Below are 27,080 nucleotides of genomic sequence, written 5' to 3'. Positions count from 1 at the left end.
AATAAGGCAGCTCAATTTGTAAAATACATTACGGGATATAAATACAATCCCATTATTGGGCATATACCTAAAGAAATATAAATTGGATAAATGTGGTGCATATACACCATGGAATACTATACAGCCATAAAAAAAGAATGAGATCGTGTCTTTTGCAGGAACATAAATGGAACTGGAGGCCATTATCGTTAGCAAACTAGCACAGGAAGAGAAAACCAAATACTGCATGTTCTCACCTATAAGTGAGAGCTAAATGATAAGAACTTCTGGACACACAGAGGGGAACAAGAGTCACTGGGGCCTATTTGAAGGTAGAGAATGGGAAAAGGGAGAAGAACAGAAAAAAATAACAATTGGGTACTAGGCTTAATATCTGGGTGACAAAATAATCTACACAACAATTCCCCTGACACAAGTTTACCTGTATAACAAGCCTGCACATGTACCCCTGGACCTAAAATTAAAAAATTTAAAATAAAACAAAACTCAAATATATAAGTAATTCTTACAACTCAATAATAAGACAGCTTAATTTTTTTTAAAAAAAGCAAAAGATCTGAATGCATATTTTACCAAAAAAGACAGGAATGGCTAATAAGTACATGAAAAGATGCTCAACATCATTAGAGAAATGCAAATTAAAACTACGAGATACCACTTCACACCTGCCAAAATAGTTATAATTAAAAAGACAATACCAAGTATTGATGAAAATATAAGGCCGGGTACGGTGGCTCACGCCTGTAATCCCAGCACTTTGGGAGGCCGAAGCAGGTGGATCACGAGGTCAGGAGTTCGAGAACATCCTGACCAACATGGTAAAACCCCGTCTGCACTAAAAATACAAAAAAATTAGCTGGGCGCGGTGGCACACGCCTGTAATCCCAGCTACTCAGGAGGCTGAGACAGTAGAATTGCTTTAACCTGGGAGGCGGAGGTTGCAGTGAGCCAAGATTGTGCCATTGCACTCCAGCCTGGGCATCAGAGTGAGACTCTGTTTCCAAAAAAAAGAAAGAAAATATAGAGAAACTGGAATCTTCATACGTTGCTATGGAAATGAAAGATGGTTCAGCCACTTCAGAAAAGTCTGACAATTTCCTTAGAAGGTAAACATGAAGATACCACATTACTCAACAAATCCAATCCTAGGACATGGATAAGCAGAAGAAATGAAAACACACAAAAACTTGTACCGGAATGTTCATAGCAGGATTATTCACTGGAAAATTGGAAAACATCATCCAACTATCCATCAGCTAGATAAATGGATAAACAAATATTATACACCCATGCAAATAAATACTTTTCAACAGTACAATAACAGGCTACTGATACATGCTGCACCTTGGAGAGAGTTCAAAAATGTTACGCTAAGTGAAAGAAACCAGATCTCTTTTTCTACAGTCTCTTCCAGCATTGCCCCAGTAGTGGGGACAACAAAATAGCTTTACCTCACATCTGGCCAAAGAGAAGTAAAAGGAATGTGTTATTTCAAAAAGGGGGAGGAGGGTCTTCTGCTGTGTACAGAAAAGTCTTAAATGCTAATAAACATATTTTGTTGGTTGATTTGAAGGTTAACTTTATGGCTTTGCACGTGATGTTCCTTCTGCCTGGAATATTCTTGCATTTTAACTTCATCCTGCACTTCCTTGAGGACATATGTAGCAGGACTGCAGCCATGTCAGATCCTGGCCCCCACTTCAGAAGCTCTTTACAAGTCAGTCGAAGTCAAGATGATGAGCCTATTTAGGACAGAAGCGATTCCTTGTCTCTTGAATGGAGCTAGGGGTGGGAAGAGGAGGGACACAGGCGCAGGCCCAAACCTGCTGTCCTTGGGCCACCAGGTTTTGACATGGAGCTGCAAGGAGACCAAGAATTCTAAATTCAAACCTGTCCTCCAGATTTCCAAACTGAAGGTCCGTAGTCATTAAACACTAACTTCCTAATTCCTCCCTCCCCTGAGCCCCTGAAAACCACCATTCTGCTTTCTGTCTCTATGAATTTAATTTCTCTAGGTAATTCATATAAATGGAATCATACTATATTTGTTATTTGGTGAGTGGCTTATTTGCTTAGCATAGCATAATACCTTTAAGGTTTATCCATGTTGTACCATGTGCCAGAATTTCATTTCTTTCTAAGGCTGAATAATAATTCATTGTGTGTATATAGCACAGTTTGTTTATCCATTCATCCATCAGTGGACATTTGAATTATTTCTACCTTTGGGCTGTTGTGAATAATTCTGCTGTGAACATGGGTGTACAGATATCTTTTTGAGATCCTGCTTTCAATTCTTTTTTGTGTATGACCAAAAGTAAAATTACCAGGTTATATAGTAATTCTATCATTAATTTTTTGAGGAACCACCATATTATTTTTCACAGTGACAGGAGCATTGCACAGTCCCATCAGCGATATACAAGTTTCCAATTCCTCCACATCCTTGCCAGCATTTGTTACTTTCTGGTGCTTTTTTTTTTTTCTCTTTTGATAGGAGTCGTCCTAATGGGTGTGAAGCAGTATCTCTTCTGCTTTTGATTTGCATCCAGGTCATTTTGAAAATAGGTTTGTCAAGACGGGAGAATGAAACATGTTTAATTAGGCAGTTCATTGACTTATGAATTATAAATTTTTATACCTTCGACATGTGAGTTCCTATCTGTACTTCTGTCCTGGTATTCAGCACAGTGAAGGCCTATCGTGGTTTTCATGCATTACACTTGAAGAACATGCAAAAGAAATGCTGACAGTGTTAGGGAAAGTCCATGTTTAAACTCAAGTTGCTATGATAATTTTCTATGATAATGTGAAAAAACATTATGAAAAATAATGGGCAAAGCAAATTTATTCATACTGAAACATGCTGCTGTGTTTTGAAAGATTTTCTCCAGTACATTAGTTTCTCTTTAAACTCCACATTTAAGTTACATTAGGAAGCTGAAATTAAGCTATAAAGATAACACTTATGGAGCCTTGAAATTGCTTTCTGAATTTTTGCTCACAAATGATATTCCCTGTTCCTCCTCTTAAAAACAGGAAGAGAAAGAAGAAATAAACAAATACTTTTCCGTCAAATATATATAGTACATATCTTTTTAGGTTTTATTTAAACTTTAACAGGTCATATTCAACAATTTTTTTAAATCATAATAGATGACATATATTTTAAAATCTCTATTCCAAATATTTAACACATTGCATATATGTTAATTGTTCTTGCCACATTTCAAACCCTGGACTCAAAAGAAATCTTCCATTTTTATAAGTATATTTGACCTGGGAGGTGCTATTAATCATCAAGATTTTAGCTCTATAATGTTCTTTTAGAAGATGTAAGTCTATATATTTGTTTATGTGCAATTTTAGAAGTGACAGCTATTTATTTTTGAGTGAGGACTTTATCACTGAGGATGAAAAAGGATTACAACTTTTTCCTTATGCCTACTTAAACTCTTGGGGTGAACTAAACAATCTCATTGGTCACATTTTAATAAAATACTTAAAAATCTCAATGACCTGACTTGGATTATATGAATGTATCAAATTATCACATGTACCCTCAAAATATGTACATCTAATGTATATCAATAAATTTTACATATTTTTAATATATTTTATTGATATTCATTTATGGCATACCTCTCCTTTCTCTGTTTTATATACTGGTGTTTGATATGAGATTACACTGGGAGAAAAGGATAATACGTATAAAAATAATTTTAAACAATTTCACAAAAATAGTATTAAATGGTATGCATGCTCTTATCACTCTCCATTCAGATAATAACAGTGTAAAAAGTTCACAAATTATCTTTAGGAATCAGTATGTTTTATCATACAGTACTTAAGAAAGACATATTTCAGTTGTAATCTTAATGTGTTTTTTTTTTTTTAATTTAAAATGCCTTTTGTGCCCAGCTCTCCTATGAAGTTTAATGAAGTTGGTGATTTGGGGGAGAAGAAATGTAGGGAGGATGAAAAGGGGGAGAGTAAGGGTAGAGAGAGGATGGTGGACATAACATACTTTGCACTGTCTTCACAATAAGGTAGAAATATCTCCATCTCCTAATCCATGCCTGAAGTAAAGGAAAATAGTTGGATCAAACCATACACTGTCATATGCTGCTGGCTCCTGGGTAAGTGACTGTATATGGCATCATCTCTGTCTCCTGTGCCTTTATCCAGATTGCCTGGGCACACAAAAGGGAGACCTGTAGCAAGATCCCAGTTAAAATAAAAATTAAAGATCCAGCAATCCCGCTTCTGGGCATGTATCCAAAGGAAATGAAATCAGCATGTTGAAGAGATATCTGTACTCCAGTGTTGATTGCAGCATTATTTACGATAACCAAGACATGGAATCAACCTTATTGTCCATCAGTAGATAAATGGATACAGAAAATGTGAGATATATGTATAAATACACACACACACACACACACACACACGCACACACACACACACGATGGAATACTTTTCAGCCTTGAAAAAAAAATCCTGTTATTTGTGAAAACATGGATAAACCTGAAGCATATTCTGTTAAGTGAAATAAGCAAGGCACAGAAAGACAAATACCATGTGATCTCATTTACCTGTGGAATCTAAAACAGTCAAACTCATGGAAGGAGAGAGTAGAATAGTGATTACCAGGGTAGAAGGCAAGGGGGAAAGAGGAGACATTGGTCAAATAATAATTTTATAAAATAGAAAATTAAACTTTAAGCAAACTAAAAGGATCCCAAAGAAACAGCTTATACCTACCAGCAACCGTAACTCCTACTAAATATCTTTTACTTTCTAAATAACAAATATTTAAGATTCGGCAAGTAAATTGTGTATATTTATTTATCAAAAAGAAGGCATTTGTCATCTGTCTTTTCCAAAATACTGCAGAATATCCATATGCTTCAACTCTTGGTTCTGTTGCCTTTTGAAAAGATACTTTTAACTTTTTTCAAATAATCTTCACCCATTTTTGGTATTTATTTTGCAAATAGACATTCAGTTACTGTTATGATTATGACTACAATGAGGTTATTAATTTACTTTGTTCTTATGCTGATAAGATTTAAATTCATATTTTTTTCCTCTCAAGCAAATGAAATGAGTGAATGAATGTGAATTTTATCTATATTACTAATGAGCCTTTCTTTCTAATTCTTTGGATTGTACAAGCATGCCAAATTCATTTTGGATTTTAAAAATTTGTTTTATGTATAGTCACTATTATGAAATATATTAAATATGTACAAGAGATCTATATTAATAATATTTTACATAGTCATTTTCTGCATTTGTTCAATTTTACTGTTCCTTGTTTTTAAAATTTTCTGATAAAGCATTGATTAGCAGGGACATAATCTCTGCCTTCAAGGAGTTTACTGGTCAGTAAATGGTTTGGGGCAATAAATCTTGATAGATATTTTTGTCAGTGCCTAATGCACTGAATCCAAATACTCCAGATGGCGGTTAGACAGTGGACTAGTAGTCAATCAGAGAAGTTGTGTTTTTAGCAATTTGGGGAAAGTAACCTATTATTGAAAAGTGGCAAGAATTTACCACCTCTAGGTATTAATGAAATAGACTAGCTTAGAATTTAAATAAGCTGATTGTAGAATTTCTCTACTCCTCACACTGAAAAGTACTTGCTTAAGGTATTTTTATGGGTATCTTCATAAAAGCATGATTGATTTAATACTATTGATTCTAACCATAGCATAAAAGCTATGTCATCCAAATACAATTATACTATTTTTTTTCCCAAAATAGCAACAATTAATTAGTACAAGTTAAAATATCTGTTATCCTGCCAGACCTTTTCTAGCCCCATAGTGGGCCATTAGAGATGAGCAGAAAGAATGCCTGTTAATGAACTGCCAGCCCACTGCCCAGCAGTGATTTGGTGCACATAATAATAAATTATAAGAAAAACTACTGATTAGACTTGAGTAAGTTAGATACAATTCAAGCTTATGTTGGTGGTGGTGGAGAACTGATCACACTTTTCATAATTTTTTAAAAGTGTTTTATTGAGCCACACTTTAGGGGAAGTTCATGATTGAATGGATCTAGTCATTCAGGGAAATCCTCTCTGTGTGAATTAATACTTCCTTTGTCAAGAAGGAAAGAAAGAAATAAAAGAAAAATATAGTATATGTGTTTTGGCTTTCTTAAAAGGATAAATGATGAATATACACAAATGAGAATAGATGATGGGTGAGATTACTTACATACTTATGAAGACTTCATATACATTGTATTATCATCCTGTTCCTCTGTTTGTCTTTTCTTTTCCCCAGTTAATTGGCAATTTTTATGTGCCCAGTATGCTATGAACTTGAAATTATTTTTTCCGTCTTCATTTCACAACTGTTACTGCAATTCAAGTTCCTATGATCAGCATTATCACTGTTAAATGTTGATAATTTCATAGCTGATATTTCTGTCTTATCAATATTCTGGCTAAAAAACATCATATATATTGCTCTCAAACAGTCAGTGGCTTTCTCTTACTACATATTCAATTAAAACTCTTTTGCTTATGTTTCAAAAGCTTCCATAAGGTGAGTGTAGCCTACAAAACTAATGTTATTTTCCTCTAACATGGCTATGTATGCATTGCCCTTTCTACCACTCACTGTTCCACACCAATCTCTATATTTCCCTTGCAGCAACTAGCTCATTCCTGCTCTCATGCCTTTCTTTTAATTGTACTGCCTTCCTAGAATGCCATCTCCTTTTTCTATGTCCACCTTAACTCCATTTCTTCTATGAAAACATACCTGAACACACTGATGCATTTCTTCTCTCTTAACACCTTCGACAGTGACATACAGTTACAGTATACTTATAGTCTCATTGTTTTCTGTTTATCAGTCTTGACTTAAGGCAGAAACTATGTTTGTACACTTTCTCTCTCCTCTGCTATATCAATAATAGTCCAGAGTCAGCACATATATGTTGCCTAGTTTCTTACTTTGTGTATTTAATCCATTAATAATTATAACTATTTTTTATTGATCAGGCATTCTTTACCATGTGCTTTCCTGAGTGTTTTGTACACATCATGTGATTCATTTCTCACAGTACCTTTATAAGGTCAATTTCATTTATCCCTGAATTTACATATTAAGGAACTGTGGCTCAGAGAAGTTGCCCAAGGTCACATGGCTTAGAGTTGCAATTAGAATTCAGTTCTGCCTTGTCCAAAGCTCTTGCTTTTTAAGTTTTCCACTAGAAGTAGAAAGCATGATCTTTCAAGGAGCTTAAAATGTTGAAGAGACAAAAATCTAGGTTATGGAGCAATTTGAGACAAAAATAGGAGTTGCTTATATTTATATACATGTATGTAAAAACATATTTATGAACTTTGAGTACCAGGAAGACACGAAGTAATCAATAATAAATTCTAACCTAATCATTTGTAATTGTTTCCTTAAAAACTCATTGTCTAAAGGAGGTACAGGTATGAGGGTAGTGAAAGAGAATGAGAATGCAATGTTTTAAGCAATAGAAAGACTGGAAAGCTCTGAGGAGTTGTGAAGTTTTAGAGATCACATCCAATCCCTAACACATTAGTTTCAAGGTAAGAGTCAAGTTATTCTGTTATTCTGCGAGGCTAAGATACTGTGAGTCTGGTTAAACTAATGAAATGAGTGTTCTCTTTCAGCTCAGCCTTTTTTTTTTTTTTTTTTTTTTTTTTCTTTTTTCTTTTGAGACAACGTCTCACTATGTTGCCCAGGCTGGTCTCAAACTCCCAGGCTCAAGCAGTCCTCCTGTCTCTGCCTCCCAAAGTGCTGAGGTTACAGGTGTGAGCCACCACACCTGGCTCAGCTCAGCCTTTTATGTTTAGTGTCATCAGTTTGTTTAGTGTCACCTGTTTGTTTCCGATGTTTTAGACAACTTCACTATCATAAAAATACATTCATCATAATATACCTTATGTTTAACTTTGGGTTTTATCTGTTATTATTTAAAGAAAGATGTTAACCAGATTTTCACTTTAAGACATACAGGCATACATACGTACAAACATAAGTGGATTGTATAGTTCTCCAGGTGCTTGTTATTTCAGGTGGCCTTCCAGTGGTCACTAGATTTCATGCCCCTTTCCCATCTACAAGGTCAACCAATGGTTCTGTGACTGTAGACATCACCTGTTATTAGGGCAGACACCTGTTATTAGGCTTGATTTTGCTTTAAGAACGTTTAATAAAAGAAGGAAACTGCTCATCATTTCTTGGCTTATTTGTTTTAAAATCATTCACTACACATATTTTAATGGAGAGAAAAAGGAGCATAATTTTTTAAAAGTGTGAATTAAAATAAGTCAGAGCAGCATTTTAAAAAAATTATCCACTCTTACATATGTAGCCAGATAGAAGAATTATTGTCAGCTTCTTTAATTTTACTGAAATTTCCTATTAACTTGTAAATGGCCAAGTTAGAATGCAAGAGTATTAAAATTCCTGATTGATCTTATCTGAGCAGACTCAAAGTATGTTAAATTCTCTAAGACGGGGTTCATTTTTGCTTTTGTGTTAGAATATAACTTTTAGGAAAACATATCTATGACACAAAATGTGTTGAAATAGATATTTCCTGGCCTTACTTCAATACCTTGGTGAACCAGGAAAATCTGATATGCTTGGTGGAAAATGCAGTGATGTGGGAATAGTGGAAAACTGATCACAGTTGGAGAAGAGTAATTCTAAAATTTGTCCTCTTGCACAGAAGCCAAATATGAGAAAGGGTTTATGGGCAATTTGGGGGAGAGAAGAGCAACCTAATGTTAGCCATCCTCGAACTGAATAGCAGGTTTATGAAATTCTCATCATAAATTACATTCCGTCTCTGTATTCTGTAGAAATACCAGCAAGGCAAATGATATTATACTGTTATTATAGAAATATTGCATATTCAACTGGGTCTATCTCTTTTACAAATGTTTCTTCCCTTTCAACTCAAAAGCATTTCTTTTAGGACAATTTAACTCAGATACACCTTAATTCCATATTTAAAAGGGTAAATATATTTATTTGAACGATGAAAGTATATGTATAACTTTTATTTCCAAATATGTGTCTTCTCCATCCTTTAAATCCTTTAATTCAATAAACTATTTTAGAGTTTTTATACTTGTATTTTTAATAATAGTTCTTATATTTCTTTGGAAATTATGACTGTCTCTGGTGCCTAATATTTAAATATTGAATCACATTTAATGGCTACTTGGTTAAGCGATTTAAATATCTAAATAACACAAATAACCAATAATTTTGTCAGTAATATGAAGAATCAAAATTAAATTTTGAATAACTGTTTTGTTCACATTTTCTTTATCACAGATATTGTATGTTCCATGTCATTAGTAATTATAAAATAATTTCATTTTTAGTGTATAACGAATCAGTAATAGGAACTTTTATCCTCTAGTAATAATACCCAGTGAAATCATTTTTAAAGACAAGAATACAATATACAATACAATATGAAATTCATAAAATGTAATATAGTTATCTAGTTAACTTGTGAATATACATATAGTTTTTAAATTCAATATTAGTACATGCATTCTACTGGTCAGAGTTTTAATCTGTAAAGTGATATCCTAGGATAACTGGTTATTTTCTTAAAGACTTTATAAGTAGTTTAGAATGATGCCAGAAAGAAGTGCTTTTTAAATTGCAGTATATAATGCATAGATTTTTAAGACAGATGGGAGAAATGGATCAATTCTGATCATTTTTCTTTAAATAGTAAACTCTCAAGTCTTCCTTTTTGAAGTGAATTATCCTTTTAATGTTTATGTAATTGAAGACAATCATTTTTATTCTTTCCAGTTGGCTGGGGTAAGAAAAGATGTAATTATTCCAACACATAAAACCCTTATGAGACAATTATTAATATAAAAATATTTTTCTGGTCTTTTAGTTTTCTCTGGGATATATTTTACATTAATTTGCATAAAATTAAGCCATAATTTTTATCGATAACTTTAATGTATTTTTATTTAGGTTATAGTATCTGGAGACTTATGTATGTGTATTTTCACATAAATGTGTGCTGTCTTCAGTTTTCATTATTTTATTTAGAGAGAGACACTGCTAATCAGGATCTGTGGCTTATCATGAGCAATTTTGTTGTTTGGAATTTCTCTTTCAGAAAAAAAATCAAGATAATCCAGATAACTATTTCACAGTACTTCTCCTTGAGAGCATTTTTTCTTGCTTCATTGTAGAAATTCTAGCTTGCATTGTAAACGCTATCCATGGAATCTCAAGACAAATGAGAAATAAGAAACTGGGATGTGTGTGTGTGTGTGTAAAATTTATTTAATATTAAATATATAATTAAATATTTAGTAATTTAAATATATGATATATTTATTTAATAATTATTTTCTTACATAGTTATTTAAAATTTTAACAAAGTTGTGAAAGGAAAATGAAAAGAGTAATAATTAAATATTTGATGTAATATTTGAATTTAAAGCAACTTCCTTGTTTTAGGATAATACATCATACGGCTATCATTATCAAAGTAAAATTTTTCTTTTATTAATTACTTGGACAATTTTATTGCTTATTTAATAAGAATAAGTAATGGCTTAGTGGAAGAATATGTGTTTTAGGCAGTATTCTTTAAAACCTTAGTCGTCAAGATAATTTGAGATTTGTCTGTGTTTACATATCATGAAGTAAAGTGAACTTCTGGCAAGCATCCAGTTAATTTTTATCAATGTAGGTAGACTGACCAGATAATCTTCTTCAAGTACTTTTTTCCCGTTGCCTTTCAGTGCCTTTTCTGTACTTCTACCCACCTAACACTCAGAAAAATTGTTTCGGGTGCCCATTTCAAGAAATCAAAGAAAGAGGCATACAGGGCTTGAACCAATATGGATAGTAGAAAATTACTGTGTATATGAAGCATCCTTTTGTAACACACTGTGTAAATTTAAAGTAGAATATAAAGAGCTCTTAACTAGATAATATGTTATACTTGCCTTCTATAGACATTGGAATAAAGTAAATTTGGATGGCTCTTATTTGCTTTGAGTCCTTGGACATACTGAAGGTGAGATCACTTATATGTAGTATCTGTCATTTCTCCCCTAAAAAGTAATGAAATCTGAGGTGACAGCTTCTTTCTTTAAATATTCCAGTGCACTAAACAAAATGCTCATAGGAAAAATACCATATCTGAATATATGTACTTTCTGAATGGTACGTTTATTTTATTATTCACAGTATTCTTTCTCCCTCTCTCTCTTTTTCTTCTGTAGCAGTTATATGCTGCCCAGCTAGCTGCAATGCAGGTATCTCCAGGAGGGAAGCTGCCAGGCATACCCCAAGGCAACCTTGGTGCTGCTGTATCTCCTACCAGCATTCACACAGACAAGAGCACAAACAGCCCACCACCCAAAAGCAAGGTACCCTTTTGAAGAAGCCACTGTCTTGCCACTTAGCTTTATTTTTCATTCAATGGTATTTATTAAATGTCTATTGTATGCCAGCAGCTAGCTTAAACTCTGGGTGTACAAGGAGGTAAGAATCAAGTAAGGGCAACAGGTGTGCATGTCAACTTATCTGCATACATTGAATCATTCATTTATTCATTTATTCAATATGCGTGTATCGATAACTATAGTAGAAAATGTGAGAGATAAAAAAGATTATCAGATGGGTATCTTGTACCCAAGGAGCTTACAGTCTGATTATGTAGATATTTATAAAAATAGCCAAATAGCCATACTCTATGATACAAAATAAATTTTGTAAAAAGTTACAGATAAAGTACATTGGAAGTTATATTGGGAGGCAGAGATCATCTTCAGGGAGAGATCCCATCAGGAGTTTGCCAGAGAAGGGAAAACTGAAATAGACCTTAAAATACAAGTAGAATTAGGACCTACAGAAGGTGTTTTAAAAATATCAGTGACTGTTATAATGTGGTACAGTGTAGGTATAATTTTAGATAAATCACCCGCCCAATGAGATTATCATGTAAGGAAATGAAGGTAATAGTAGTGTTAGAAGTAAGGCAATTTAGAAGTGGTTTTGGTTTTTAAGCTAAGAAAACATTAGAACACATGGAAAAGGATCAGGGAAAAGTCAAATAATGTATGTTTCTTGGCCTAGAAGGAGAGAAAAATTGATTTTAAATTTGTATTTGTATTAAGATCTTGCTTAAATGATATTGTATAAATATATTAAGCTTTCCATGCAAGAAGTAAGAAGAGTGATCGTAAAGCAGTATTCCTTGAGATTACTCAGGGAAACAACCACAAATAATTTGATTCTATTAGGAAATGTTAAGTAGAAAGCTGACGCAGTTAGTTTACCAGCAAAATATATATATATATATATATATTTTATATATATATTTATTTTGCTGAATTATGTAGAAAATTGCTTCTGTTCTCCATCCCATGAATGCCATGTTGACATGTCTAAAACAAAACAGTGTAAGAATAGTCACAATCATTGAAATACACAGAGAAAAGGATTAGAAAATATTAAAAGAGAAAAATCCAAGAATCCTCAAAAAATCTTTCTCTAGTACCCTGGTGGCTCTGTCAGGATGTCTTTCAGAGTTATTGTATACTCCAGAGAGTAAATCAGTAAGGAGAAGGGATCAATCAATCATTTGGAAAAGGGCACTCTAACCTCCATCTTCCTAGAATTCCCCAGTCCTTTTCCATATTATTAAAAGACAAATATTTTGGGGAATATAACTTAACCTGGACAAGGACCTTAGACCATGCTTTTTCAGCAATATGTAGAAATATTTAATGAAAATTATTGTACACACTACATTGACAGTAGGAGTATACATATGCCACTTTGAAGATCTATTTCAGTTGTTTAATGGACTGTGCATCTTCTGTGCTTAATGTATATCTAAGGCCTGGTCTGCTTTTCTTTATAATCACAACAGCATGTAAGTTTTTAAAACTGGTAATAATTTTAACATTTCTTAAATACATTTAATTTTAAAGTAGTGATAATTTTAGTGTTTCTGTGGACCAGCAGTTTTCATGTATTACCTGTAAAGAAAAATGTACTTTGGATAAAATAAATAGCTGTAGCAGCATAGTCATTGTCACACACAGACAATGTGTGTCTGTGAGGTATTATTCTCTGTTTTTTCCCTTGATTTATTGATGTGATTTCACATCATGTTTCGTAATGAGGCTTTACGTCAGGACATTTTGCTTTATGATTTTAGGATATGTAGCTCACTTTTAAATGGCTGACGGATTTTTTTCTTACACCTACATTCACTTTTTATCATTGATACCTTCTCACCAGATTACTTATACAAATCATCATGAAGCTTTTGATGTCAGTCAGCCTCATCCATTTATGCATCTACTAATTTGTCCATTCACTCATTTATCCATTCAAATGTTTATTGAGCAGTCGCTACAATGATTTTATTTAGGTAACCATGGAAAATGCTAAAGTAACTGAAGGTTTGCTTTGCTAAGATTAAGAAATTGCTTTATGAACTATATAGTTCTATACATTCATAGAACCTCATAGACTTTGTGCAAAAGAGAATGAGTATTTCAGTAGTGTCAGAAATCTGCCACATCCTGTGGTGTTATATACCTCTGTTTATTTAATACAAGTGAAAAAGTAGATTGTGTTTCTATAGCCATGATTATACATTATTTAAAAATATAGTTCTTCTTTGAAATTCAATGACTTTTTGAAAGTGAGCCTTTATGAATTTTCTATCATATAAAGTTTAAGAAAACTTTATGTGGTTTATAGTGGGTGTTGTACTTCTTTCCATCCACAATTATTGTAAAATACACAAAGGTTTAACTAAGAATAAAGTGCCTCTTTTCAAGTAACAACGATTTAATAAAAATATGCCCTTTCTTTGCTCAGTGCCCTCTAGCATACTGTCCACAACCACTCTTATTGTCAGAAAAGATTTCTTCAGTGTGTTTGTGTTTTAGCTCAGCAGTAAAATGTAGTGGGTTAAAAATAGCCACACCAATAAGTAATACTGTTGTCATTTTAATGAAGAACATGGCCAAAAAAATACAACCTATAATAAATAAAGAGGACCCATTACAATACATGAATTTACTTTCTTGTAGCCTGGAATTGACGTTTATACATAGCATAATAAACATTTTGACTTCACAAAGCTATTTTATTCATGTATAATAGCCATCATTTATTATCATATTTATGTTTTTAAGCAATCGATTATGAATGTCTTGGGGGTATTTTCTGTGTGTTTTATTGGCAAATGTTCATGTCTATGTTACCATAAAATAGAGTTATTTTATTAAAGGGTTTTGTGTTGTCTACATACCTACCTGGCATAAACCAAATTGATGGTTTAAGTTAAAAGTACATTTGCTGTTTGGAACAATGAAATCATAAGTCACAACCAGGTGATGATGTGAGATTAATGATCTTATTGATAGCTGTGGAAAATTAACCATGTTCTCTGAGTTGTATTGCCTGCCTTTCTTCCTGGGTATGCTTTTGCCTTTGACTCAGAACTCTAGAGAGGGACACAAACAAAACTTATTTGCAATTTGCAAAAAATGGAAGGGGGAAATCGAAAGGAGGGGGCTCCAAAAGACTGTAAAATTGTACAGCATGAGTCCTCTGATGCATGCTGTTTTCAATCTGCTGTGTGCCAGTTGGTGGCTTGGGGAGTGTGTGCGCGAGAGAGAAAGGATAATGCTGAGAAATGATAGAGTGGCTGTGACCTCCAAGCTCAGCCTGGAAATCCAAGACATTGATTTCACTTAGCATTCCTGCTGAGAAATCTGGCGGAGTTCAGTTGTAATAAAAGAACAAGATTCTGTTCTAATGGTAATGGCGTATGACAGACATATCACTTTGTCTGTCCTCAGCACCAGAGAGAGGAGAATTGGAGAAAGGTCACCTGACCTGCCTGTGGTGTTATACGAGTGCTGTACTGAGCTTTGAACTGCAGCCCAGGAGCATAATTATTTATAATATTAAATGATAAAGAAACCTTTAGAGGACTCACAGTGAACCTCTGAAAACGGCACACTGGAGTTGTGTTCTGTAAATGTGAAAACACAAAAAGAAATCTGGTCTGTTCAAAATCTGCATTCAAGAACATGCATATTGTTGCTTGTTGAGTTACAGGTCCTTGAACTTACTGTTTGTGAACTGTTTGCACTAATGCCTGACATATTGTCATGAGTTACTTTTTCTTTTCTCAATGCCTTGGTTTTTTTAGTCCCAAGCCAAGTATGTGTATATATATATATATATATATATATATATATGCACCCCCCCCGCCATGGTCTATCTTGCCAAAGACTGGATGATACAGAATTAAGAGCATTGACAGATTTTAAAAATTTCTCAGCTGTTACAATAAAATTTTTCTAAATACTCATACGCTTGTCTCTTCAGCAATTATTTAATTTGTTCCCTTTTGGATCTTACTCCAGGACTATTTTTTTCATTGACCCACAAAAGCGAATATGTTTAGCTCTTCGCAGATATTATTCTAGCTCTTGTGTGTCCTAACAGCTATGTTTATGGCTAAATGTTGGCAAATAAGTCTGAGTGAAAGTATAAAACCTTGAACTTTTATGACAGGAGATCCTGTTTAATGAAAATTATAAAAATAATTCTACCTTCTCACATTAAAGAAAATTATTTAATTGAGGTATTGTTAAGCAGTATTGACGTTTGAATCACATATACAATAATGTTGCTTTGAGTCTGCTTATGGCCTTAACAAATGTTTTAATTATTTGCTTGTAGTTTAACTTTCTGCCACAGAATGAACCAATATGCAATGTATTCAGCAACTTTCATTTTTGCACCACATATTTATTCAAATGAATTTCCACATACTTTCATGTAGTCTTTTAAGAGACTAGATGACCTTTGCTTTGTTATAGTAATTGATCTTTCGATACATTTGTTTTCTAAGAATAAATTATTTCTTTTAAATTTAATGGAATCAGTATCAGGCTTAAAAGAGTTATTTTAGGAGGAAGAGTATTTAGACTCAGTTTCACACACAGCTCGTATAATTGTTAGTTATGAATAGGCTTATAGTTCTGTGTTATCAAGAAGTCCTCAAATGTTATAGGTGTGCTAAACATCCAAACTTCACATTGTAAGTGTTCTGCCATTGTAAAAGTAGCTACCTCTTGGGAAAATCCTAAGAGCAACTTGTAAATACTATTAAACCTACCTTGGTGTTTGACGGAAACTTACATATTGCCTGCAGCAGCCAAGAACAGTCAGTTTAAAAAGCTGATGACAAGAGAGAATTCCTGGGTGCTTTTCTTTTAACCTTGCCGTGACCCTGGTCATACCCCAAGTCACAGTTGTGTTTCTATCAATGGCAAGAGCACACAGATTGTCCGAATCAATTTTTTGTTCTTTTCGAATACTTCTGACAGTGATGTTCCCATTTGCTCAGCAGTAGCACCTGGGAGTATGACAAGGAAAAGAAATATTTCTCCGACAAGCCAGAAATGGCCCTAACCAGCTGACCAGACACAATCAGATTCTTTGAGCTGCACTATCCTTATAATGTTGCTTCAAATTCAGAAGCAAAAACTGGAACTTTATTGTTATCTGAGCCTCTTTCAAAGGCATAGTAAAGATTTTGCCCGATGTGGTACCATGTGTTTCTGTTAGTAATATCAGCAGTGCCGATGACTCCTATTAGGGAACCTATTTTTTTGCTGAAATGGTACCAATCACATAGTTTCACGCTATCAAGTAAACGTTATATCAATACACACTAATCTGCAGGGTAGAATTTTGTAGTTTAATACTATGAGTCACAATTTGTGGTACACATACACACCAGATTACTTAGCAATATGCTAGCAGTACGAGAAATCAGAGGATAATCAAAATTCATCTTGATTGAGAATTAGTTCTCACAGGAGATTTGGGAAATGAAAGCATTTTTGGTAATTTGAGACAATGTTTTATAATGCCAAGTGGGGAAAAAGGCAGAATACAAACCGCACATACAGCATAATCACAACCAAGTCTACCTACCACTAACACAAAGTATAAAACTTTATTTTTAATATTGTGACAAAAAACATCTGTTAAAGATATAGCACAAGAGTGGCCGGGTGCGTTGGCTCACACCTGTAATCCCAGCACTTTGGGAGGCCGAGGTGGATGGATCATGAGGTCAGGAGATCGAGACCTTCCTGGATAACATGGTGAAACCCCATCTCTACTAAAAAATACAAAAAATTAGCCGGGCGTGGTGGCAGGCGCCTGTAGTCCCAGCTACTCGGGAGGCTGAGGCAGGAGAATAGCATGAACCCAGGAGGCGGAGCTTGCAGTGAGCCGAGATCGCGCCACTGCACTCCAGCCTGGGCAACAGAGGGAGACTCCATGTCAAAAAAAAAAAAAAAAAAAAAAAAAAAAAGATAAAGCACAAGACAACAAAGAGACTTCATGAGTTTGAAATGGACTAGGAAATGCTAAGGCCTCCACAGCAATATTTCCATGGTGAAAAGTTCAAAAAGCACTGCTCAATATAACCATAACCTCATTTAATAGTTTTCACATTTCATCTGACCATGTGAAATTTTGAGTGGTAGTTTCTAGAGGTGTTATTTCCAATATGTTAAAGTTTTAGAATACTACTATTTGACTTACTCTGAGAGCTTTTCAGGTCAAAATCTCAAATCATGGCTTACTACACAGGGCTAAAACTGGTCTGTGAATGTAGTATTTCTAAGTAATTCACAGTGCTGAAATAGTATTAATAAAAGAGGAGCCGCCATTTATCTCTACATATCAGCATCAAATCACTGATCCATCCTGAAACTGTTGGGCCTGGTACTTTTGTAGATTCCATTTCTCCCACAAGTTCAGGACAGAAAGGGGTATTAGCCTCAGCTAATTATAACCGCATTTAAATTGACCATTTTCTAATCTTAACAGTATCTGGCATATCACTTAAATGCTAGAATCTCCTTAATAAATTATTCTGTATTCTTTGTTAAATAGCTATTGAAAACCTCTTTCTCTCCTTTATTTCAGTATCTGTGAAATAACTATTTTGTTAGCCTTTGAGATGTAATATGGATGTGTCATATACTCAAGAGGTGAATTCATCTAAGAAGAATCACCCCATAGAGTTAAACTGCAAATGCAGCCCATTATCATTATCATCACTTCCTGGGTGGGACATATTTACAGTGGATATAACATAGTTGCCCTGTCATTTTAAATAAAATAGTTTTCTTTTTGTGGTTCTGTGTTGCTACATGGAAATAAGTTAAATGAAATGTTATCAACAGAACCCCTGTGATGAGCCTCCTCCTCTCCTTTTCATCTTTATTCAGTTGATGGAAATCTCAAACAGCTAGGTACTTAAACAGAGGCTTTTCTGGGCTCTGTGGTATTAAATGTCCAAATAGATCATTAGGTGAAATATTCTTATGATGCAGAAAGTTGAGGGTTGGTCACATTTTTACCATAAAAACAATAAAAATTATAAAAGAGGCTAGTTGTAATCTCAGCGTTAAATGAAAAAAGCAAAATATGCAGAATGATTTAGGTAATGTCCTTTGAATTTTACCAGCCTGGGCTGTGTATCCCAGTATACTGATTTTGTTTTGACAGAAACATGTCTCATGCACACAGCATGGTGAGCCATGTCAAAGCTTTTTAATAATGCAAACCATGGGGAAAGAAGAGGATGTGGAGCATGTGCAGACTCAGGAAGATCCACAGAATCAGATTTTTTAAGGGAAACTTGGACTGTAAAGTAGGTGCAACCCAAAGTAGATTTCACCATCTAAAAATCTGTGTGTTTGAAACATTGTAATCAAAAACAGCAGGTAGTTAAAACCTAAGTCGTTTAGGGAAATAAAAACAGGACAATAAGAAAGGATGTCTGGGTATAGTTCAGGACTTTGAATTATATTCTAAATATATTCATTTTTAAAGATAAATGATATATTTTCTACCTGTCACACTACTTATCTAGCTATTGTTATCTGATAAAACCTCAATGAACATCATAGCTAAAAATGCTAAGTCATTATTGTGTCAGAGACTGAGAAAGCAAAAGTACGTTTCTGTAGTTACTCTTTTTTGGGGGGAATCATTTATAATTTTGACTTCCTAAAGCATACTTTAAAACAGTTGAAATCTTTTATTTTTTATGCTAAACTATTGATCATTGCCTCCTTTGGAGCTGTCAATAATCAACTCCTTTTTATCACTTTAGCCGTCACCTGTACTGGAACTGTTTGGTTTGAGACTTGATACGTGAAACTAAGGAGGACTATTCTTAATGTCAGAGTTGGTTCCCTCTCTGTATTAAATATATGTTGCTTACACATTCTTACTTATTCATAAAAGAAGAATTTTAGCGGTCTCTCTTACAGAGATGCCTCAAAGTATAAATTTGTTTGTAAAATGACAACAATTACTGATGTCTTATTTAGGTTGATGGAAAATAGTATATATGCAAAATTATTCAATAGATTTTATCTAGATTTTCCACTAGAGAAAATAAAGAATACTAATAGTATTTTTAAACATTACGAAATGGAGAGCAGAAAGAGAACGATATACTGACTACACAGAGGTAGACATGAGGGTTGGAAAATAGACATGTAATATTCTAAACTGAAGAGTACTTAAAAACCCGAAGTACTCAAAAGTTGTATTTGTTTGATAAAATGTATAAGACATTTTATTTATAGAGGTATGTAAGCTTAAGTTGGAAGCCCAGAAGGTATTCAGTCCAAGACACAATAACCCAGTCTCAAGGTAACTTTGCTTCTGCCTAGAGTCTCGCAATATCAAGGAGTCCACCAGTTAATGAGACAGCATTGTCTTATTCAGAATAAGTCTTTTTTGTTATTTTCTTCATTGTTATGGATTTAGGAGTACAAGTACAGTTGTGTTACAAGGATATATTGCTTAGTGGTGAGGCCTAGGCTTTTAGTGTGCTCATAACTGGAATAGCTTGCATTGTACCCAACAGGTAGTATTTCAGAATAAGCCTTAATATCACAATGTTCTTATTTAAAGAGAACTGAAAGCATCTTTCCAGGACTTTTTCTTGTGGTTTCACTGAATAACAATTACATTATTCAGTTCTCTTTCAGTTGCAAGTGATAGAAAATGGAAGTACATTCGGTCACATTTTTTTTTTTTTTTTTTTTTTTTTTTTGAGGCAGAGTCTCACTCTGTGGCCCAGGCTGGAGTGCAGTGGCACAATCTGGGCTCACTGCAAGCTCCGCCTCCCGGGTTCACACCATTCTCCTGCCTCAGCCTCTCAAGTAGCTGGGACAACAGGTGCCACCACGCCCAGCTGATTTTTTTGTATTTTTAGTAGAGACGGGGTTTCACCGTGTTAGCCAGGATGGTCTCAATCTTCTGACCTCATGATCCGCCGGCCTCGGCCTCCCAAAGTGCTGGGATTACAGGCGTGAGCCACCGTGTCCGGCCCACAATTTTTTTTTAAGAAGTTCTTCAGATTTCATGTGTGGTTTAATCAGGATCCCAAACAATATCTTACAGAGTTGATTTGTATTTCCTAGCTCTGCTCTTTTTTCATTCTTAAAAGGATGGTCCCTTTTTAGTGTTCTATAGCACCCTATGTTTACATCTACCATTCACTGATTCAACAAATATTATTTCTATCATATATCAAATTTAATTCAAGCCAGTAGAACTACAGCTGTAAACAAAACAGTAGTACTCTTACAATTTCACAGTGTAATGGGGAGAAGCGAACTATGGGCAATTAAACAAATGGGTAATTTTGTGCATGCTAAGTGATATGAAGAAAATAAAACATGGTCAAAGATAGTGTGCTGGGGACAAGAAAGGGAATCTTCTTGGGAGAGAGCTTTAAGGGAAGCCCTCTCTGAAATCGTGAAAAGGAGGACACCTGTAAAGGTCTAAGGAAAGGTTATTCTAAACAGGAGGGAAAGTAATTGCAAAGACTCTAATATGTGAATGAGATTAGTGAATTCAAGGTTCAGAGAAAAGGCTGGGGTAGCTAAAGTGCAGTGAACATGAAGGAGAATGATAAAGAGTCAGGTTGGGAAATGAGAAAGACCAGATCCTATAGGATTTTTTCATGTTCAGGACTTTGAATTATATTCTAAATATATTCATTTTTAAAGATAAATGATATATTTTCTATCTGTCACACTACTTATCTAGCTATTGTTATTATGTACTCATTGTCTTCCTCTCTTAGGTATTATGTCTTTGTAGCAAAGGAATTTTTTTATCTCCTGTGCCAATTAATTAATTAATTAATATTTTAAGGGCTTCTACAGCACTCCCTTAGAAACATACTGGAATTTGAGCCCCAGTGACATATCCTGGATGTTGCTGTTGGAGAGACGTAATTCCACAAATATTTGTTAATTGCCTGTGATGTGTTGGAGTCCTAGGACCTGAGGATAGTGGTCAACAGTGTAGATAGATATGTGTGCTCACGTAGCACAGTGTATAAAGTGAGGGATATGAAGAAGAATGTAGATAGAGACAATAGATATAGTTGAAGAAGGGCAGCAAGTACGGACCAGGAGTGTAGATTCAACGCAGAATACTTCCTGTTTTGTTTTTTTTTTTCCAGATTCATTTCATCAGCAGGTTTTCGCTGGCAATATAGGAAAACACATACAGTTGATAGTACCTGTCACCACCTATGTGAAGCAAGTTACAAAGTCAACTTTTTAGATGATATTTTGACACTAACACTATTACATGAGTATTCATTTTAAAATAGTCAGCTTAAAAAACTATAATTGCTACATACTAGTGCTCATAAGAGTTTTGGAGCTCTTGTTTTACTTAATGCCTTTTAAGTAGATAAACAAGTCACATAAGAAAAAACACCCAAATTTCTGATTAGTGTGGTTTTTGCTTTCATATATGTTTAAATCCCACTTCCCTCTCTCTCTCTCTCCTTTTTTCTCTTCCTTCTTCTCTACCTCTTTCCAGTTAGTATATGCTTTTTAAAGGTCACACCTCCTGTCATATAAACATGCAACGCCACCTGCTTAACAAAGAAAAACACCAAAAACTTCTGTAAAACTTTTATAAAATTTATTTAAATAATGTTATTTTCTTGGTAAAAAAAATTATATCATTTATTTAAACATGTACTTTCTTAAAGCACTTAATATTCAATTTATATTAGTGAGATTGATGAGTTTATATACAAAGATCTAATACATCAGTTTTATTGCATTATATTTCATAAAATGAGATTCTTTTCAGTTTTACCTGTTTTCACATTCACTAATGTACATACAATATGGTAGTGGCATTAACTGCACAAAGCTAGTGTAAGGAGCAATAGAGATTATTTTAATCCAGAGCCTATCCAAAATATTATAAGAAAATGAGGTTCTCCATCATTATTCATATGGTTTCTCATTACTGCTAACACTCAGCTGAAGAACCCAGTCATTCTTAATTATGGTTTTTAAAACAAAGACCAGAAATTGTATGACTTGATTAGTATTAAATGTGGGAGAAAAGGTCTTCAACAGATGCAGTGGTATAATTTACATTACCTGAATTGTTTAGAGTCTGTGTAATATGATCAGGGGAATTCGTAGGCACATATTCCTTGTCTTATGTATTGTAAAGTTGGAGAATATAGGAAACATGAACTACCTATTTGAAATTTAGAAAAACTATTTTTTTTAAGGAAACAGTAATTTATTTATTTATTTATTTATTTTTGAGACAGGGTCTAACTCCATTGCCCAGGCTGGAGTGCAGGGGCGCGATCTTGGCTCACTGCAACCTTTGCCTCCCAGGTTCAAGCAATTCTCCTGTCTCAGCCTCCTGAGTAGCTGGGACTACAGGTGCCTGCTGCCACACCCAGCTAATTTTTGTATTTTTAGTAGAGATGGGGTTTCACCATGTTGGTCAGGCTGGTCTCCAACTCCTGACCTCAGGTGATCCACACGCCTCAGCTTCCCAAAGTGCTGGGATTACAGGCATGAGCCACCGCGCCCAGCCCAGAGTAATTTTATATCTCTTATTTAAATTGAATATATATTTGAAATTTTGTCTATACTGAAATAAGAATTTTGCTCATTGAAATCTTCAGCTTATCAATATTAAATTTGAAACATGCACTCTCAATGGTTCAGAATTATTGAATATTGCTAAGAAACTGATTATCAGACTGCTGCTTGAAAAATAAAAGTTTCTAAATATCAAGAATAGGTAGGAATTTGTCGAAACCCAAGTCATATACCAGGTTGTAATGGGAAGAACATGCTCCTTTTCTAGTCCTGAATCTCCTTGTAGATAGTATCTTTTGATGCTTCTTAGAATTACACACTTTGCCTTGTGAGCTGCAGGACTTAAATTGCAATATCCCACAGCTTTTAGCAGTTGCATTTTCAAATGTGAACTAGCTGATTCCATTGGGTGACTTTTTCAGAACCCAACAGTTTAAGAAATATGTTTTATCATTTTGGTTTTTAAAAAGATGAGGATCAGACATCTAAATTTATAGAAAATTAAAAGAATTTTCCTTTTTCGGGTCTTATCAGAATAATATGAAAGAAAAAATGTATACTCAAATAGATAAAAATGTATTTTCTTTCAAATTTTTTACCAATACCAAGAAAGTCTAATAACCTCACATTTTCACGAAACCGCAAATTATATTTTCTTAAAGCTCTGTTGTAGTGCTTTGCAAGGCCAGTTGCCAGCATTGGTATTCTGTGGGAGACTTTCATTTAAATTGGACCTTTAAAGAACCAAGGAATCTTATTTTTTTTTACTTTATTATATAATTTGAACTGTTATGATTTGCTTTACAATTTTGATGACTTTGGCAGTGTAGATATTTCATAAATAGGAGAAAAATAAATTGAGACCAGAAATAGAAAGGATGAAATACTACAAAAATTCTTCTCTTGTGGTATTTCCAGTAGCACTTCAAATAACATAAGAAAAAAAATACTGTTGTGAAGTATGTTTTAAGAAGCATTGTGACAGCAACAGGAATGTCTTTAAATAGGTACAGATTTGTGTTTTCTATACTTCTCTATGCAACTCTTCTGAGGATCAAAGTTTCACTTTAAGCCAGTGGGAGCTCAATATTCAGGTCAACCCTACATGAATACAGGGCAAGGCAAGAATTTTGGGTCAAATGATGGAATTTTTAGTGCCAGTTTTCATGCAAATAGCACTGTCGTTTCTCTAAAAAATGATGATTCTGGTCCCATTTTAAGAGAACCTCTAGGTAATTTGTGTTTGTTTTGATTTTGCTTATCTTTTTCTATTAGCATTCATTAAGTTACACTGAACTAGAATTCTGATCTGTTCTATCCAGGACTATAATTTATGGAGTTACAACAAAATAAGTGAAGAAGATATCAATTCTATAGGATGGACCACATTAGAAACATCTTCTATCTTATTGAATTTTAAGTAGCTGGCCCCTAATAGGCTCTTAACAAATGTACACCTGATTAATGTTTGCATTATAATAACTAAATCTTAATATTAATTGAACCCTAGTTATCATAGTTTGTAATATCATTTTCACTGTTTCAATCTTTGCAAAATTATGCTTACTAATACAACACAATCTAAGAGAATGTGTCTGTATAAGGATTTTTTTAACTGCAGTAATATGCTTTCTAGCTATTGTTAAGGTGAACTTTTGAACATTTGTATAACTATATATTTTTTTAGAATTGAGCACATAAAATAAGACATTGAGAATTTAATAAGACAAAAAGAAATAAGATTTTTTAAAAAATATTTTTTCAAAATATGTTTGAGTCCTGCTTTAAAAAACAAGATCCACTTAGAATAGATAGTTAATAAAATATAACTTGTCATAAATGAGTTATCTTCTACTGGGTAAGGAGAGATGAGAATGTTTTCCTTGGGAAAGAGACACGTTGTTTATCTGTTCCAAGCAAGAGACATTACATTTTGCTTGAAACAAAGCAATACGTTGTTTATATAAATTTTTAAAAATCATGTAATGACTGTTATTCACAGATGAGCCTTCTAGAATTACTTTTAGAAGATGTCAAAACAACTTCTATAGAGGATTCTTCAGTAAACCTTTTGAGCACCTCTAATATGCTGGACACTTTGGTAGAATAAAAAAAGAACAGCAATTAACACACAGTACAATATAATGGGGAAAACAAACAAGTAAGCCAACAATTAAAATACTGTAGGCTAAGTGCTATTCAAAGAATAATATGGAGGTAAGGAAGAAACTTTGTAACATAACCTGGGGAGAAATAGGAGAATAAGGAAAAGGGTTCCAGAAGGTGTGACATTTAGAAGGTTTTTGAAGGAAAATGGAAACAGTCTGTGCAAGGACACATAGGTATGAATGAATAAAAGGTTGGATTTTATCTGAATTTTGGAGAAAGAAACAAGGTTGAGTGTAATACATCTGTAGAACTTTGTGAGTGAATTTAAGAAGAATGAAAATATAAAGATACAAGTGTGTAAAAAATGAAGTCTAACTTCCTTAGCATGGCATTCTGCAATCTAGCCCCACCTACCTCCCTAGCCTAATTAATACTTCTGCCTTTCTCCCAGTTCCAGAAATGTATACTTCAGATGAAATCACTTTCTCAGGTATCATGCTATTTCAATTATTTTTGCCTATGTTTGTGACACTGGACCTCTCTGGGTTGCTTCTGCCCTGTTCATTTCACTTTTCTCTCTTTTTTAGCACCACTAGCAATATAATATCCATCTAAACCGTCATTTCTATATAGAATTCTAAATAGAATTTGCTGTTACATTGTATGTCACCCCACTGCACAAACACATACTCCTTGAATAGTATCAAAGCACACTTATAATACTTCATTGTACTTGTCTTCCTTTGTATGATCCTCAGTCCCATGAGGGTAGGGATTATAGCTTAATCATCCTTAGCACCAAGCACAATACTTGGCTTGTAATTAATGCTCTACTTCTTTTAGAAGAATAAATACATGATCAAAGGTCAATGGTTTGGATCATTGGAAGATAAGGCAGTATGAGTAGAATAAGATTGTACCTAAGAAAAATGAAACAATGTTATTTATACAAAACGACTCTGAAATTTAAAAGTAAGATTTGTTCTTATTTAACCTGTCAGTCTAGGTGAAATATACTGAATTTAGGAAATATGAGCCTTTGACCACTGGAGAGATATTATCTATAGTGAACTATGCCTTACTTCCCAGCCCTTACTGTGCTTTAAATAAAGTATTCGCCATTTACCTCTTTTTGCCCTGGTTCTGATTGTGAAATTGGGTTTTTTAGATATCTTGAAATTAGGAAAGGTGTACTGTAGAAAACTCAGCAATATTTAGGTCAGGTATAAATGAATTAATTGGCAGTCTGTTTTATGCATTACCTCCATGAGTTTGTTTACTGTGAATACATCTTTAAGTGAGTGGACCTCCCTTACATAAGCTGCTGAAGAGTCGAGTTGATCCTGAAATGAAAGGCACAGCCTGTACAAATATTGTCCAGTTTTGTTATATTGTTTAATTGATAGTTCAAATAAAGTTTTAGGATGGAAAAAATTGTATTTCATTTTGTAAGGTTATTTTTCTCTGCTTCTCTTTTATGCAAAAAAAAAATTATCTCAAAAATGGCAGAGAAACTTCCCACCCATACAAAGACATAGTCGTTTATGTTATATGTATGGATATATTTATATGTATGCATAGTCACACATCACTTAATGATGGGGATATGTCCTATCATTGGTGATTTCATTGTTGCATAAGCATCATAGCATGTACTTATACAAACCTAGATAGTATAGGCTACTACACACTTAGGTTACATGATACAGCCTATTACTTCTAGGCTGCAAACCTGTACAGTATGTTACTCTACTGAATAGTGTAGGCAGGTGTAACAAAATGGTATTTGTGTATCTAAACATAGAAAAGGTATAGTAAAAATATAGTATTATAATCTTATGGGACCACTGTCATATAGGCAGTCCATGGTTCACCAAAATGTTGGTGTTCCTATACAGTACATGACCATATATTTATATGTGTACATATGTGTGTGTGT

At 33.9% G+C, this 27,080-nt stretch overlaps 1 protein-coding gene across 41 annotated transcripts in view; it reads left to right on the top strand.

Moving 5' to 3' along the window:
- The window catches only part of SOX5 (SRY-box transcription factor 5), a 1,033,147-nt gene that overhangs the window by 946,830 nt on the left and 59,237 nt on the right, over window positions 1-27,080 (top strand). For all 41 annotated transcript variants that reach the window (XM_024449159.2, XM_024449158.2, XM_047429458.1 and 38 more), the window contains one exon: window positions 11,288-11,434. In XM_024449159.2, coding sequence (XP_024304927.1) covers window positions 11,288-11,434 — 147 coding nt within the window. The remainder of the gene's footprint in view (window positions 1-11,287; window positions 11,435-27,080) is intronic.

Source organism: Homo sapiens, chromosome 12 (genome assembly GCF_000001405.40).
Source record: "Homo sapiens chromosome 12, GRCh38.p14 Primary Assembly".
Classification (NCBI taxonomy): domain Eukaryota; kingdom Metazoa; phylum Chordata; class Mammalia; order Primates; family Hominidae; genus Homo; species Homo sapiens.
The sequence above is the reverse complement of the archived record's forward strand: the minus strand, read 5'-3'. Positions and strand labels throughout refer to the sequence as shown.